The sequence below is a fragment of the Homo sapiens genome, chromosome 8 (genome assembly GCF_000001405.40).
Source record: "Homo sapiens chromosome 8, GRCh38.p14 Primary Assembly".
NCBI classification, from domain to species: Eukaryota; Metazoa; Chordata; class Mammalia; order Primates; family Hominidae; genus Homo; species Homo sapiens.
Window position 1 is genome coordinate 606,138 of NC_000008.11, and position 16,775 is coordinate 622,912.

Here is a 16,775-nt window from a genome sequence, read left to right on the forward strand (position 1 = left end):
AATTTAATGTCCTTAATAGATACAGGGATAGTTGAATTGTTTATTCCATACTGGGTGAGTTGTGGAAGTTAGTGTATTTTGAAGAATTGGTCCATTTCATCTAAGTTGTCAAATTTATCTGTGTAAAGTTGTTCATGGTGTTCTCTCATTGTCTTTGGATGTCTGTGGTGTCTGTAGTGATGCCCCGTCTCATTCCTGATGCTGATCAGTGCCTTCGCTCTTGGTTTTGTCATCCGCCCAGGCAGAGCTTTGTTGGTTTTGTCACCTCCTTGCAGATCTTTGAGGGGGAGAGTCTAGGCCCCCACACCCTTTGCTGGTGCAAGTAAGGTTGGTGCAAGTGAAGCTGTGGCCCCAGCTCTCTCTGCCTGAACGTTCTCTCTAGGCTCCCTGGTTTCTGGTCCTGTGGCTGGTGTGAGCGGGCTTCACTTGGGCCTGTTATTGTCTGCACCCCTTGTGTTGCAGGTTCCTGGCTTCTTCAGCTCCAGGTCTGGGATACACCAGGAAAAACCCATGGCTTACCCTGTGCCACTTCTCACCTCTGGGGTTCCCAATCAGTCTGCTTTCTTCTCATCTTTCAGTCTTTTTTTTTTCCTTTCTATATGCTGTATGGTTTTTAATTGAACTTAATATGAGGAATAGAGAGAATTACATCTTCATCTTCCCATGTGTGGAAATCCTAGTAATTCATTTTTGAGGAAAGAAAGTCGAGCTGAAAGGATCTGTCACTTTGAAGGATCCTTCTCATAAAGGATCCTCCCATAAAGGATCTTTCAAAGTGATGATGTCACAAATGACCACTGTCTTTCAGGATGTGTAAATATTTTAGTTTTGGCTTTCTGTGCATTATAATCTTTATTTGAGATTAAATCCTTCCTGGGCAGCAACTTTACAAATGTCCCTGAATTTTCTTCTACATTCTGTAAGATTTCAGTTTGAACTCAAGAGCTCAAGAAAGTCTTCCTTGTACATTCTGGTTTTCAAGTGAAGACGGCAGTTTCAATTTGTACAGAAGTGATCATGACAGCACCATCAGACCCGAGGTCCCAGCAGGGTTATCTCTGAGCTCTCCTCTGTGCCCAACACATGACTTGACTCATATCAGATGCCAGACAGATGCTGATTGAATTAAATTTACAAATGCTGCTTCCTCACATCTGACGTTTGCCTTGAACCTCTCCATACCTCTGCAAGGTTGGCAGTTTGCGTGATTATTATTTCCTCTTTAAAGAAGAGGAGATGGGGACTGAGGGGCTGAGGCTACTTGTCCAATGTCAGAATACCAAGTTCAGTGGCTGGATTAGGACCAACATCATCTGCTTTGACTTAAGGGGTCCAGAACTTGCCACCCCAAAATATGCAACAATAGCATATTGATTAGTTTGAGCTAAAAGAAACTGAAGGCCAGGCACAGTGGCTCATGCCAGTAATCCCGGAACTTTGGGAGGCTGGGGTCAGAGGATTTCTTGAGCCCAGGAGTTTGAGACCAGCCTGGGCAACATAGGGAGACCCCCATTTTTAGAAAAAAGTAAAAAGATTAGCTGGGTGTGGTGGAATGCGCCTGTGGTCCCAGATACTCAGGAGGCTGAGGTGGGAGGCTCACTTGAACCTGGGAGCTGGAGGCTGCAGTGAAAAAAAATTAAAAAATTGAGAGCCAACACAAGAATGCTCTTTGCCTCCTCATAAAATACCTAAATTAATGTATTAGTTTCCTCTTTTTAAAGGAACTGACACTGACAAGGAAAAGGCTCGTTAGTAAAGATCTTGTACCAGGAGGAGAGTTACTCTAGACAGCCTCTACCCCAGAGCACCAGACAAACTTTTTTTTTCTGAGACAGGGTCTTGCTCTGTCCCCCAGGCTAGGGTGCAATGGCACCATCATGGCTCACTGCAGACTTGACCTCCCAGGCTCAAGTGATTCTCCTGTCTCAGCCTCCTGAGTAGCTGGGACCACAGGTGTAAACCACCATGCTCAGTTAATTTTTAAAAACTTTTTGTAGAGATGGAGTCTCACTCTGTTGCCCAGGCTGGTTTTGAACTCCTGGGTTCAAGCAATCCTTCAGCCTTGACCTCCCAAAGTATTGAGCTAACAGGTATGAGCCACTGAGCCTGGCCCAGAGAGACTCTTACCTGCACAACTAGGCAACTTTATTCACCAGACAGTGCCTTCTTGCACCCTCCCAAAACTTGCCTCCAGCACCCCCAAGAAGCCAAGCCTCTATTCCCTTCTGTGGCCAGGATGCTGTATAGCCCCCATCAGCTGGCCCTTCCCAGTCCCGATGGCCCCGGAATGTCCACCTGTGGGTTGTGCATGGTCACCCCTCCTGTCCCCACTGTCCCCCACCCCACCTCACACAGTCTGTGGCTGCTAAGTCATTATGGACTTGAACCTCCTGAAGACCAGAGCATTCTGTTCAGCACAATCACAAGGAGGTCACAGCCACCAAAATTCCTGTCTTTGGAAGCGTGGAGCAGCATCCACTCTCTGCCCCAATGTCACACCTTCTGAGGGAGATAAAACCAAAGGACATAATGAATCCCAAAGCAAAAAACAAAAGACAGTTCTCCCTAATACCCCCTCGCCACTCAGCCAAAACAACGAAACACCAACCAACTATTTAACCTTCACAAAATTCTGGCTCCTTGACAAAAAGAAAATGCATGGAACACTGCTCTATGAATAGAGAATCAGCAAAATTACAGATGGACCAGCAGGTGGGCAGGACGCTGGCTTCACTCTCAATCCCTGACATACACACTCCAGTATGGAGTGGAATTTAAGAGAGTCAAGTGCATCCTCATCTCTCATTTCCCGTTGGATCTCATTCTGCCAGGGGGAGTTTAAACAATTGCAACGTGCTTTCTCATACCCTTGTCTTAATGTACACCAATACTTTTATATAACTTCTGCTGCGTTGAATCAGCCAGAGACACACATGAACTTGTCCAACATTCGTTCTTATTTTAGTGTCAGTCTCTCGGGGAATGTGGCTTGATCTGTGTAATAACAGAAAACACAGTCCCTAGATTTTCTGAAACAATAACAATTTCAAAATTCTTTTCTATTTTCCCTGAAGTACAGTTATACTTGTGAGATTGTGCCTTATTTAAACAAAGTGATATGAAACACTTTTTTTAATGATTAAAGAATAATATTTTCATTGCATAAAAATAAGAAAATTCAGTAAACTATAAATAAGAACACCAAAACTATTCATAATCCATCATTAGAGGTAGCCATTAACATTTTGGAGTATTTTTCCAACATTTACACATATAATTGAGATCATACTCTGTATGCAATACTTTTGAATATAGCATTTAAAAGGGACTATTTTTTAGAGAAGTTTAGATTTATATAAAAATTGAGCAGAAAGTACAAAGTTTCCTCATACCTCCTCTCTCCAGTTTTCCCTATTATTTATATCTTGTCTTAGTGCGGTGCACTTGTTACAATTCATGAGCCAATATTGGTAAATTATTATTAACTAAAATCAATCGTTTAGAACAGTTAGAACTCACTTTTGGGGCTGTAAATTATGTGGGTTTAGATAAATGCGTAATGACCTGTACCCACCATCACAGCATCACAGAGTCTCACTGCTCTGAAAATCATCCGTGCTCCGTGGCTTCAGGCCCTCTCTTCACCAGCCCTGGCAACCAGTGAGCTTTTTCCTGTCTCCATAGTTCTGCCATTTCTGGACTGTCCTGTAGCTGGAATCACACGGTGTGCAGCCTTTTCAGATTGAAAAGCCTTTTCAGATTACTTCTCTCACTTAGTAATCTGCATTTAAATTCTTCCACGTCTTTTCACGGCTTGAAAGTTCTTTTCTTTTTAGCCCTAAATCATATCCCGTTGTCTTGAGTGAAGGTTAAAGTTCTTCAACTTCCCTTAAAGGTATGAAAATGAATGGATGGGGTGACGTCTCAGGGGAGGGAGTAAATAGAAAACCCAGAACTGATTGATCCTGATGGCTGATTGACTGGCAGGAGTACCGGCGTCATCTCTGGTGCCCCGAACGGATCCCTACAAGCCCCCTGCCTTACGAGCGGGTACTTCCCCTGCCAGGAGGGACCGTGCTGCGTCCCCCTGGGGCTCTTGCGAGGATGATGGCAAGCCCTCAAATAAAGTGAACAGCTCAATCGCCTCAGCAATGCTGCATTTATCAATAACAGCATCCTGGGCTGGGTGGGAGTCAGGCAGGGTCTGTCTTGTGAGCTCCTGGCACGAGAGCTGCATGATGTTCTGAGCCTGTGAGTCATTGAGTAGCTGGAAGGGGCTCCGGGGACCTTGTGAAATTTGTGTCTTTTTAAATGTAACTATGATTTAATATCTGATGGGGTGTAATAAATATTTAGTAGCACATTTTTCTGCAGATGGCGAGGGAGGAGGTCAGTCCCTGTCAACAAAACACAAGTTGTCTGATTTACCGAACTTCCTGGATGGTTTGGGTTTGTGTAGAACCAGCATCTGTTTGAAAAATGCTTAAAAAATAATGCAAAATCTTTCTCCAAAAATTACCCAATTACCAAATACCACAACTTATCTCTTTCTTCCCAGTGGACTAAGTGCTAAGCGTGGCTTCCATTTCCTAAAATAAAGTGCCTTGCAATTAAGTATATATTCAGCTACTGCAGTTAGATTTTCATGTTGGTGGTGCAGAGCCCAGTGGAGAGGAGTTGATTAACTGCTGTGAAAACCAATTCCATTTATTTTATCTTCCAGTGAATTTTTAAAAGGAAGTTAATATGCTGACTTATCTTGGAACAATGTGTCATTATACTCCACACTTAAGCCCTGGGTATTAGTTTTTCTATCTTTAGAGTGACCTAAATTGAAAAGCCGCTGCCATTCTCTCTTCTGATCTAGAGCTGTCTCTCAGTTTGTCTTTCTTACTTGTAAAGACTGAGTATCACCTCATCACAACATTCGAGACACTGCCTACGACGGTTCCGGAAGTTTGGTTCAGAAACCAAACCATCGTGGTTTGGTTCAGAAAGACTTGGGAAAATGAGTCTTATTTTGAGAGATAAAAGGTCCCAAAGTGAGATTTGAGAAAATAGATGTCTAATAGGGTCATTCATATCAACCTCGGAGACAAATGATATTTTTTGCTCGTTTCTTTTTTGTGGGCCAAGCTCAACTATGTTTCAACTGCAATTTATTTTATTAGACTTTCTTTTTATGTAACTCAGACTTAAGAGTGACTATATGGAGACTAGAGTAAATCATGTTATGAATTACCCCACATCCTTCACTCTAAAATGCAGTTTGCTGCCAGAATTATGCTTCCAAAATGGTCACAGATAATTACTGTGTAGGGCCCAAGCACAAAACACCCTGTGGGGAGAATCTCAGATTTTCTGCACAGCTGTGTTTCCTGAGACCTGACATTTTCAGCAGAGCACCCTGGAGCACGCACACGAGTAAGACGCATTCCCGCCCCGGCTGGCACAGACTCGCTGGAGTTTGTGAGGTCTGCCTGAGGAGAAGGACCATATCTAAAACCTAGTATCAGGATTTCAGGCTAGATTGCATCTTCCACTAAGTTTTTAAAATATAAGATTTTTTTAGAGAAGCAAAATGGGTAATATCGCAAATGTTCAAAAAGTTATATAAATACTATTGCATATGGATAACATAGGATGCTAGTGCTCATTAAAAACCTCATTATAGAAAATTGTGCCAGGTGCAGTGGCTCATGCCTGTAATCCCAGTGCTTTGGGAGGCTGAGGCAAGGGGATCCATTGAGCCTAGGAGCTGACACCAGCCGGGCAATATAGGGAGACTCTGTCTCTACAAAAATACGAAAATACAAAAATTAGGTGGGCATGGTGGCGCACGCCTGTAGTCCCAGCTACTCAGGAGGCTGAGGCAGGAGGATTGTTTGAGCCTGGGAGGTCGAGACTGCAATGAGCTGTGCTGACGCCACTGCACTCCAGCCTGGATGTCAGAGCGAGATGCTATCTCTAAATAAATTTAAGAAAGGATGAATTGTATTTGCAACAAGCCATCGTGGTGAGAGCGAGGGATTCGGGTACCATGGAGCTCAACAGCTGGTTTTGAATGCACCAGAGCATTAAAGGAAGGAAATGACACGCTCAGGATTTTAAATTCCTGGATCAACTCTTGACCAGAGGCTCCTGTGACTGTCCTTAAAGAACATCTTCCTTCCCATCTGAAATGGATCCATTTTGATTGGAGCTAGCACGCTATATCTTTCTCTACCTCCATCTCTATATGCTGCAGCATAAATGCATTCCCTCACAAAATAAAATACATAGATTTTCTTTCTCTTTTAACTCAATTTCTTATGATTAAAAGAGGAAGAGCAAAGTACTGGCGCCGATGGAGCATGCATGGCTGAGCCAGATTTGGTCTTTTCCAAGCCCCACGTCCTACTGGAGGGCTCAAAGACAATTACAATGTAGAGTAACAAAGCAATGCATTGCAATGCCTGCATTTAAGATATCAGGGCAAGTCCTGAGGGTATAAGGTACTTGAACATGAATCAACTGTCTAACACAGTAACTAGCAGAGTTTGAAAAGCCTCAACATTTGAAAATGCTCAGGGCCTCGTTTCCGTGGATGAAGAAAATCTTTGCAGATTTGTTGTATCTTGTATTAATGTTAATTTAGCTAAGTAAATAGATTTATTTTCATTTACTTTCCAATTTTTATTTAAAATGACATGCCAGTGAATAAAATCTGGAGACCAATAAAGTATTTGTGCATATGCATGCATAATATACATAGAATGTACAAAATAAAAATATTAAAGAATGAATTATGAACCTCATTATGTGGATAAAATGCACTTGAAGTGGAAAATATTCCAAACATGAAAGAGAATTTTCATTAGGTAGAGTTCAGAAATTGTGACAAAGGTATATCTTAAATGTATTACTCTTCTTATGTAAGAACATTTGTTTAAATTATAAGAATGCCTAATGGGTTGAATTTCATATGTGTAGACAGATCCAAATTTTTCAAAATGAAAATTCAATATTCATGAGACTCAATCTAGAAAATACATTAGAAAAGGAAAATATATGGAAGTTATAGGAGTAAATTATAAAATCCTAGTCAGAACTGATAAATAAAACACAAAATATTTGCTCAATAAGCTCTCCAAGGCCCTTGTATGACTTAATTTCTTTGTGCCTTTGTTTCATTATCTGTGAAAGAGCTTCAAAAGTTGCATAAAGTCAAATTGGCTTGAAAAATTTAAGAGCTGTATTGATTTATTGGTCATTCTTTTGGCAAATACTTATCGAGTGCTTTACTACAAACACAGACGGTAGTTACAAACATGCCCCTAGCATGCAATTTTCTCCATGACCAAATTCACTTATTCATTCTTTTGCCAAGAAGCAAAGATTCCCACAAGGTTTGCACACTCCATCTACCTTCCTTTCAAAGCCTTGCTGTTTCATGGCCAGCGATGAAAGACCAGTGCCCTAAAGCTCTGGTGCCACAGGCCAAGCACACCGTGCATATTTCTCCTGTAACTCCCAGGAACTCAGGGCGCATATTTCTCCTGTAGCTCCCAGGAACTCAGGGCAATCGTTGTTCCCATCTCTAAGTGAAAGCAGGGCCGGGGGGCTAGTTCTTTCCCAAGATCTCAGCGAATGCCCAGAAGTGTCAGCCTTAGAATGTTCACCTGCTGCCGGCGTGTCATGAGGGAGAACTCCCAGGCCCTGGCTGGCTCCTGGGTGACTTTGGCACTGGTTTGACCCCACCTCCAGGGCAGCGGGCCTGACTCCCAGGTGACAGGCAGGTGGTGATGGAGGAGGCAGGTGGTGATGGAGGAGGCAGGTGCAGCTGTAGCAAGGGCCGCCTCCCTTTGGAATCTGCCCAAAGACGCAAGCAGGATTCCCAGGAGGCACTGGCACTGCAGAAAAGTGATTGCAACAAGGACAGCCTTGAAGAAACAACCCTGACAACCTTTCGGGGAGTCTCAGCCACTGTCTGAGAATTCGTGCATTTCTGTACGTGAATCACCGGTAAACGACAGGCTGTTTGCTCTGGAAAGCCCATAGGCCAGATTTCGCATTCCTCTGTAATGATCTGATGCCTCCTCTGTCAGCTGTCTGCAGTCCCAGCCATCGCCTACTGCCCCACAAACAGCTTCCCAGCCACCGAGGGGTGGAGTCTGAGGAACCTTATTTCAGACCCTTTGAGAACTCTCCCGCTTTGAGACTTGGGGCTGACCTTTCAGAAATGCAAAAGGAACACCAACATACGACTTCATTAAGCCAAGGCCACTGGGTACAGTTTCACATTTTTACAGATATTTAACCTCTCTCAGTTCTGGAATTTTGTTAGCATTTGAACTTTTGATTCATCTGACTCCAAGTGTTATAACCCCCTTGGCAACTGTCTAGACAGGTGCTGACTATGCAATGCAGTATTTATTATTACAGATCTGTCAGATTACTGGTGGGACCGTGTCAGGATCGCTAATGGTCGTGTGTGTGTGTCTACGATCCCTTCCAAATTCTAAGCTCTTCATGGGTAAAGACTAGGATTTCTCTTCCTCTAGTGTTTCACGTAGGACTAAATAATAAGTATGAAGGAGTGTTGAATCAATGTTTTCCATTCACTTCATTTCATCAATTCATTCTTTATTCAACATACACTTGTTGATGCCCGGCTCTGTGCCCGACAAGATGGTAGCTGTGGAGACTGATCTGAAAAAGCATCCTTCGTGACAGGTGGAAGTTGGATGGGAACAACCCACCCAGCCAATTAGGTTCCTCAGTTGCATGACACCAAGGAGCTGCTGTCTGGGAAATGCACTTATTAGGAGAGGGACAAACTGTGACTGAGCCACAGGCTCACCTCAGCCAGTCAAAAGGACTTGGGCACTGCCTCATTCAAGCCACCTTGGAGCAGACGTGGCTACGCTCCCAGCAGCCCTGTACCCATCGGCCACTGAAGATCTCAGCTCTCGTCAGCCTTGCAAAGCTTGCTGCATCTGAGTCTTGGGCTCCCGGTCCACTGCTTAAAAAGTTACTATCACACAAAGTCGAAAGTAGACAGTTCCTCTTGACCTGGAATTGTCCAAGTCAGCACCACAGCTGGTTAAGGCAGCCCCTCTCTCTTTCCTCTTCTTATTTTCTTGGCTTTAAGTCTGCTTAGGACTCCTGGAAAATCAGGTTAAGGGAGATCAGTTGTGTTCATCATTTTAATACAATGTTTATTGATCCACAGATGTGTGCCGATTGCTGGGATAAAGAGATAACTAAGATTAGTCTTCCTAAGCCCTGCTTTCCTCAGTCATAAACAGAACAATGATCAAAGCAATGGTCACAATAGTGCCTGGGGTGGCTGTCATCTCTACGAGGCCTGGGTGCACTGACACCATTCCTGCAAAGGGAAGGCTCAGACAATGGCAGTGTTGATTACGGAGGTGATGGCTGCAGCTGCAGACAGCTATTTGGCAAATGCTATGAACTATCCCTGATCTGCCCAGGGGAGGCGTGTCTGACCCTTCACCATTGGAAATCAACTTAATGGACTGTCCTGGAAAGGTAGTCAGTCTAGTCTAAACAGGAAAGACAACATTCTTATTGCTTGGAGGTTTACTCGAGTGAGAATTGAGTGGAATGACAGAAAAAACACCCATTGCTAAGAGCTATGTGGTAAAAGCTCAGAGAGGACAGAAAATTGCATTTCATTTTCTGATAGAAAAACTTGTTACAAATTTACAACCCTGTTTTCCGCCAATATTCAGCTTTCCTCTTTAATGAATACGCTGTGGTCTCATGCAGCACAGAGAACCTAGGGAAATTATCCTAATTAATTACTAAGTTACAATTTTCCAGATGATGTAGATTGCCTTTTTCTTGAAAATGTAGACGTTTGGGAACTGTTGGAGACACACACACATTCTCAGCCCATCACTCCGCCCTGTCACAGTACACGCCATGCCCAGCAATGTGCAAGAGAAGAAAGTCCGTTAAAAACACCCTGTACTTCTGGTAATTTTTTCTCTGTAATGATAAGTTATTAATAAGTATATTAAACTCAAGGGTACACCTTAAAGAAATTCCGTAACCTGAAAAGTGTAGTCACATAAGCCCACGAGTTTCTCTGTGTTCAAATGGTGTCTGAGGCACAGATCTTTGTAACGTTGCATTTTCACATTTGTGTGGCAGGACAAGCATGGGGCAAGAGGGACGCGTTAACTGAAAGTTGCTGAAGACAGGCTCCTGTCGGCCAGGTGTGGGCGGCCGCCGTCCAGAGAGAAACTCCTGCCACGTGTGTGAGGCTGACCGAACCCCGCACACCCCATGCTCTCCTGGCTAAGCGGATTCAGCGCTGGCCAACAAACCCAGACAGGTACGGCCAGAGCACTGCTCCCAGGAATTTGGAGTTGATACCTGGGGACCACAACACGCACATCTGGGAACTGGAGCTGAAAAACAGATCAAGTCAGGGCTGGAGAGAGACAGAGAGAGAATAAGAGTGAGTGGGGAGAGGGAGGCAGAGACAGAGAAGGAGAGACAGACGGGGGCGCGGGGGACAGAGGCAGAGGGAGAGGAAGACAGAGAGGGACAGGGAGAGAGATAGAGACACTCAGAGAGATAGGGAAGCGGGAGAGAGAGGGACAAAGGGAGAGGAAGACAGAGAGAGGGAGAGGGAGAGAGATGGGGAAGAGAGGGGGGAGGAAGAGACGGGGGGAGAGAGAGAGAAAGAGAGAGGGAGACAGAAAGAGACAGAGAGAGAGAGGGAGAGGGAGACAGAGACACACACACACACAGAGAGAGAGAGAGAGACAGAAAGAGACAGAGAGAGAGAGGGAGAGGGAGACAGAGACACACAGAGAGAGAGAGAGAGAGACATTGGTTATATAAGCGAGCAAATATCCAGAAGGAAGAAAAACGATTCAGGACCAACGAAATAATTCCGGTTCCCACTTTGACTCTTTGTCCCAGCCCACCCATGACTGTATGACAGTGCATATTATTCCAGTTTAGCTGGCTAGGAAACTGAGAAAGAAAGAAGGCAGGAGTCCACTCAGGGCACAGGCGGTGGGGACCACACGATTCCAAGAGGCACTGACGCCTTCATGAAGGGCTTCCGTAAAAAGTGGGAAGTACTCCGATTGCTGGGAGCGTGTTCTAAGTCAGAATGTTCCTGGTGGTTCAGGGCAGCTCAGAGGATGCCTCCTCAGAGGGCTTCCCCCACCATGTCCAGAGTATCCCCTTTGCTCATGGCTCCATGCCTGCCTCACCGTTCTCAGCACTGATCACTCCCTGTCATCTACTACCTGCGTGTTTATCCATTTGGTCCTCATCTGACCCCACTGGGGAGTGCTGAGTGCTTGGTGCTCGGTCTATCCTCACTTCCCTCTGAATGCTGAGGGCTTGGTGCTTGGTCCATCCTCACTGCCCTCTGAGTGCTCAGTACTTGGTACTCAGTCTTTTCTCACTGCCCTCTGAGTGCTTGGTGCTCCATCTGTTCTCACTGCCCTCTGAGTGCATGGTACTTGGTCCATCCTCACTGCTGAGTGCTGGGTGCTCGGTCTATCCTCACTGCCCTCTAAGTGGTCAGTACTTGGTGCTTGGTCCATCCTTACTGCCCTATGAGTGCTCAGTGCTCAGTCTGTCCTCACTGTCCTCTGCGTGATTGGTGCTCAGTCCATCCTCACTGCCCTATGAGTGTTCACTACTCAGTGTTCCATCTGTCCTCACTGCCCTCTGAGTGCTCAGTACTGAGTGCTCCATCTGTTCTCACTGCCCTCTGAGTGCTCGGTACTTGGTCCATCTCACTGCCCTCTGAGTGCTCGGTACTTGGTCCATTCTCACTGCCCTCTGAGTGCTGGGTGCTCAGTCTATCCTCACTGCCCTCTAAGTGGTCAGTACTTGGTGCTTGGTCCATCCTCACTGCCATATGAGTGCTCAATGCTCAGTCTGTCCTCACTGTCCTCTGAGTGATTGGTGCTCAGTCCATCCTCACTGCCCTATGCGTGCTCACTACTCAGTGTTCCATCTGTCCTCACTGCCCTCTGAGTGCTCAGTACTGAGTACTCCATCTGTTCTCACTGCCCTCTGAGTGCTAGGTACTTGGTCCATCTCACTGCCCTCTGAGTGCTCGGTACTTGGTCCATCCTCACTACCCTCTGAGTGCTTGGTGTTTGGTCCATCCTCACCACCCTCTGAGTGCTCAGTACTCTGTGTTCCATCTGTCCTCAGTGCCTTTTGAGTGCTCGTACTTGGTCTGTCCTCACTGCCCTCTGAGTGCTTGGTGCTTGGTCCACCATCACTGCCCTCTGAGTGCTCAGTACTCGGTGCTTGGTCTGTCCTCACTGCCCTGTAAGTGCTTGGTGCTTGGTTTGTCCTCACTGCCCGGAGCAGTGCATGGCATAAGCTCAGTGGGTACATGCTAACTGAGTGAGTGACTGACAGAGCCTCCCCCTCCCACCCCACTGTCTTTCAGAGACCTTGGGCAACATTACCAAATCCTTCAGGCCTCAGCTGTGAAATGGGTGTGACTGAAACCTCTTTCCAGGCTGTGGTTGAGACTAACTGCGTTATCACACACAGCACGCTTGGAACAGCACGCAATGGATACTAACTATTAAAATTGTGCTTAAACCTGGTGTCGTGGACTACCCTGCTATGTGTAATCTTAATGCAAGAGTACGCAGACTGAGAGCGCCACTTGAGACAAGGTCCCCCAAACGCCTGACCGAGTTGGAGATCAGTGGTGGAAATTTCAAAGGTAGAGGACACAGCTGCCGTCTTGGGAGTGGTGGACTCCTCCCAGAAGACAATCATTTAACCGGAGAAAATGGTTTTAAACATCATTTAAAGTCTCTGAAATTATCCTAAGGGCATACGCAGAATGAAAAACTATTTATTCAGGAAAATCCAGTAAATCTTAGTAACAACAGTGAGAGTCTGTGGCATTTCAGCCTCAGCCCTCCCTCCAAGCCCATCGAGAAAATGGAAGCTCTGCTCTCTACAGATGTGGAAAAGAAAATGGGGGCCCTACTCCCCCAGTGCCCAGTCTGGGGCTCTGGCCACCTGTGTTGCCCACCTCCCAGCCCCGTGTTAAAATGTTGAAAGCCAAATAAAGAGAAAGCCTTGAGAACAGAAAGGGCACGTGACCCATCGCGCACAAGGAGGCCCCGGTGAGACCCACCGCGCACGAGGGGGGCCCGGTGAGACCTATCTCACACAAGGGGATTCTGTAGATAATTGTAAAAGACAGTATAACATATTTCTTCTTTCTTCTCAACTTATTTTTAAAATGCTTACATAAAAGAATATGTATATAATTACATTATTTGTATTATAACATATAGAAACGTAATACATTTGAAAATAGCAGCACAAAGAAGCCAGGTGGAACAAAGCTGTACTGGAGAGAAAGCAATGACATCAGATAGTAACCAGTATCCACCGGGGGAAGAAAAGAGAATCAGAAATGGTAAATAAGGAGATTAATATAACAAACTTTATAAACATATACTTGCTCTCCTTTCTTCTCTCAACTTCCTTAAAAGACTTAAGATTATATACAGTAGTAATTATAACAATATATTGTTGGGTTTGTAACATATACAGGGACAATATATTAAACAACAGCACAAAAAAGAAGTCTATGGAATGAAACTATGTTGTATGAAGTCTATGGAATTGAACTCATTCCACAGGAGTATGTTTCTGTATTTCACTGGTATTAGGCTAGTATAAATCTAAAATAAAATTTGATGTTAAGATGTACATTGTAAGCTCCAGAGCAACCACTAAGAAAATAAACAATACAGTAAAAATGTCATTTAAGGAATAAAAAATATTACATTATAAAATAGCCACTTAATATGAAAAAGCAATAAAAGAAAATGGAGGAATAATAAGGACATATACAAAACAAAAAGTGGGCCAGGCGTGGTGGCTCACACCTGTAATCCCAGCACTTTGGGAGGCCAAGGTGGGTGGATCACGAGGTCAGGAGTTCGAAACCAGCCTGATCAACATGGTGAAACCTCGTCTCTACTAAAAATACAAAAATTAGCCAGGCGTGGTGGCGCACACCTGTAATCCCAGCTACTCAGGAGGCTGAGGCAGGAGAATCACTTGAATCCAGGAGGCGGAGGTTGTAGTGAGCCGAGATTGTGCCACTGCACTCCAGCCTGGGCAACAGAGTGAGACTCTGTCTCAAAAAATAAATAAATCAATAAAAAAGAAAACAAAAAGCATAATGTTAGATATAAACCTAATAATCAATAAAAATAATATTTAAATGTGAATCAATTGAACAAGTCAATCAAAAGGCAGAGATCATCAGACTGAATAAAGGGAAACCAGAAACCTGCTTATCAAGTGTGTGTCTCTGTGTGTGTCTGTATAGTATCTGCAATGTACACTGACCTCCTATAGAAAAAGTATTCATATTCTGTAGAAAATCCAGTGCAGCTTTTAAAAATACAAATGAGTTGAAAGTTAAAGAACAGAAAAACATACGTCATGCAAACAGCAACCATGACAGAGCTGGATAGGCTATACTAACATCAGAAAAAACAGACTTTAAAACAGAAAATGTTACTAAAGACAAACACTTTGTAATGATAAATGTTAACATAACAATTATAAACCCATATGCACCTAACAGTGGCACCCCAAAATATATAAAGCAAACTGGTGAAATTGAAGGGAGAAGTAGACAATTTAACAATGGTTTTTACAGACTTCAATACCCCACTTTTAATTATTTATAGAATGAATAGGCAGAAGATCCACACAGAAATAAAAACTTAAATAAACTTAGATTTAACCAGCATCTACAGAACACTTCACCAAAAACAGCAGAATACATATTCTCAAGTACACATAAAACGTTCTCCACGACTGACAATATGGTGCATACACCATAAAATAAACTCGAATACCTTTAAATAGGATTGAAATCATAAAGTATATTGTCTGAGCACAATAGACTTAAATTAAAAATCAGTAATAGGAAGAAACTTGGGAAATTCACAAATATGTGAAAATTAAACAATACACTCCTAAATAACTAATGGATGAAAGAAGAAATTACAAGGGAAATTAGAAAAAAACTTGAGAAGGATGAAAATAAAAGCACATCATGCCAATATTTATAGACTGCAGCTAAAGCAGTGCCCAGAGGAAAAGTTATAGCTATACATGCTTATATTAAAAAAGACACTCTCAAATCAATAACCTTTCTACCTTAAGACACTAGAAAAATTTCTCACAACAAAAGATAAGTGTGTGATGTGATGGATATGTTAATTAGCTTGATATAACCATTTAACAAGGTATACATGTATCAAACATCACACAGTAAATATATGTAATTTTTGTCAACTATATGTTAATAAAAATTTTTTAAATAATTAAAATAATTAAATAATTAAAAAGAGAAAGGAGATAGAGAAGAGCAAACTAAAAACCAGCAGAAGAAAGGAAATAATCAAGATTAGAGCAGAAATAACTGACACAGAGAATAGAAAAACAATAGAGAAATCAACAAGACCAATGGTTAGTTCTTTGAAAAGACTGACAAAACGACAATCCTTTAGAAAGACTACGAAAGAAAGAGAGGGACTAAATTACCAAAGTTAGAAATGGAAGGGAGGACATCTTATAAAATAATGACCTTATAAAAGTAAAAAAGGATTATAAGTGAATAATATCAACAATTATGAGCCAACAAAGTTAAATACAATTCCTAGAAAAACATAAACTACCCAAACCAACTCAAAAGGAAATATATCTAAAACAATTAGAGATTAAATAATGTTAAAACTTCCTTGTGGCTGAGTGTGGTGGCTCATGCCTGTAATCCCAGCACGTTGGGAGGCCAAGGCATGACGATCCCTTGAGGCCAGTAGTTTGAGACCAGCCTGGACAACACAGTGACAACACCTCTACAGAAAATAAAAATGAAAAAAATTAACCAAGCGTGGTGGCATGTGCACCTGTAGTCTTAGCTACTTGGGAGACTGTGGCAGGAGGACTATTTGATCCCAGGAGTTTGAGATTACAGTGGCCTAAGATTGTGCCACTGTACTCCATCCTGGGTGACAGAGCAAGATTCTGTCTCAGAAAAATAAAAATAAATAAATAAATTCCTTGCTATGGTCTGAATGTTTGTATCCACCCCCCATTTATATGTTGAAACTCAATCAGCAAAAGGTGATGTTATTAGGAGGTGGGGCCTTTGGAGAGTGACTAGGTCATGAGGGCCCTGTGAAAATGAATAGGATTAATGCTTTTATAAAAGAGGCCCCCAAGAACTGCCTTCCCTTCTGCTACGTTGAGGATGCAGTGAGAAGACACCATATCTATGAAGCAGAGAACGAAGCTTTTCTAGATACTAAATCTGGTGGTGACGTGATCTTGGACTGTCCAGCCTCCAGAACTGTGACCAATAAATTCTGCTGTTTATAAAGCACCCAGTCTGAGGTATTTTGATATCACAGTCCAAACAGACTACCCTTGAAAACCCAAGCCAGACAGCTTCACTAGCAAATTCTATCAGACATTTAAAAAGGCAGGGCACAGTGGCTCACACCTGTAATCCCAGAACTTTGGGAGGCTGAGGTGGGAGGATCACTTGAGCCCAGGAGTTTCAGACCAGCCTTGGCAACATAGTGAGACCGTGTCTCTATAAAAAAATTTTTTTAAAAAATAGCCAGGTGTAGTGGTGCACACCTGTGGTCCCAGCAGCTCAGGATGCTGAGGTGGAAGGATTGCTTGAGCCCAGGAATTCAAGGCTGCAGTGAGCCATGATT

At 43.4% G+C, this 16,775-nt stretch overlaps 1 protein-coding gene and 1 long non-coding RNA gene across 8 annotated transcripts in view, besides 1 other annotated feature; one reads left to right on the forward strand and one right to left on the reverse strand.

The window, feature by feature from the left end:
- Positions 7,175–7,727: an enhancer, noted in NCBI's record as "H3K27ac-H3K4me1 hESC enhancer chr8:563312-563864 (GRCh37/hg19 assembly coordinates)". NCBI's record gives its function as "activates a minimal SCP1, AML or CMV promoter by ChIP-STARR-seq in primed H9 embryonic stem cells {active_cell/tissue: H9 hESC(primed)}" and the evidence as "EXISTENCE:reporter gene assay evidence [ECO:0000049][PMID:30033119]".
- ERICH1 (glutamate rich 1) overlaps positions 8,609–16,775 on the reverse strand; it is a 116,479-nt gene continuing 108,312 nt past the window's right edge. For 5 of the 7 annotated variants that reach the window (XR_007060715.1, XR_007060714.1, XR_007060710.1 and 2 more), the window contains one exon: positions 8,609–10,444. Coding sequence is in view for 3 of the 7 variants with exons in the window: in NM_001303100.2 (NP_001290029.1) it covers positions 10,434–10,444 (11 nt within the window). In the remaining 4 variants the exon portion in view is untranslated. The remainder of the gene's footprint in view (positions 10,445–16,775) is intronic. The other 2 variants (XM_047421403.1, XM_047421399.1) reach the window with 1 other exon arrangement.
- On the forward strand, positions 10,290–12,608 carry LOC124902055 (uncharacterized). The gene is made up of 2 exons (XR_007061164.1): positions 10,290–10,345; positions 12,446–12,608. It is a non-coding gene; the product is annotated as an uncharacterized LOC124902055 (long non-coding RNA).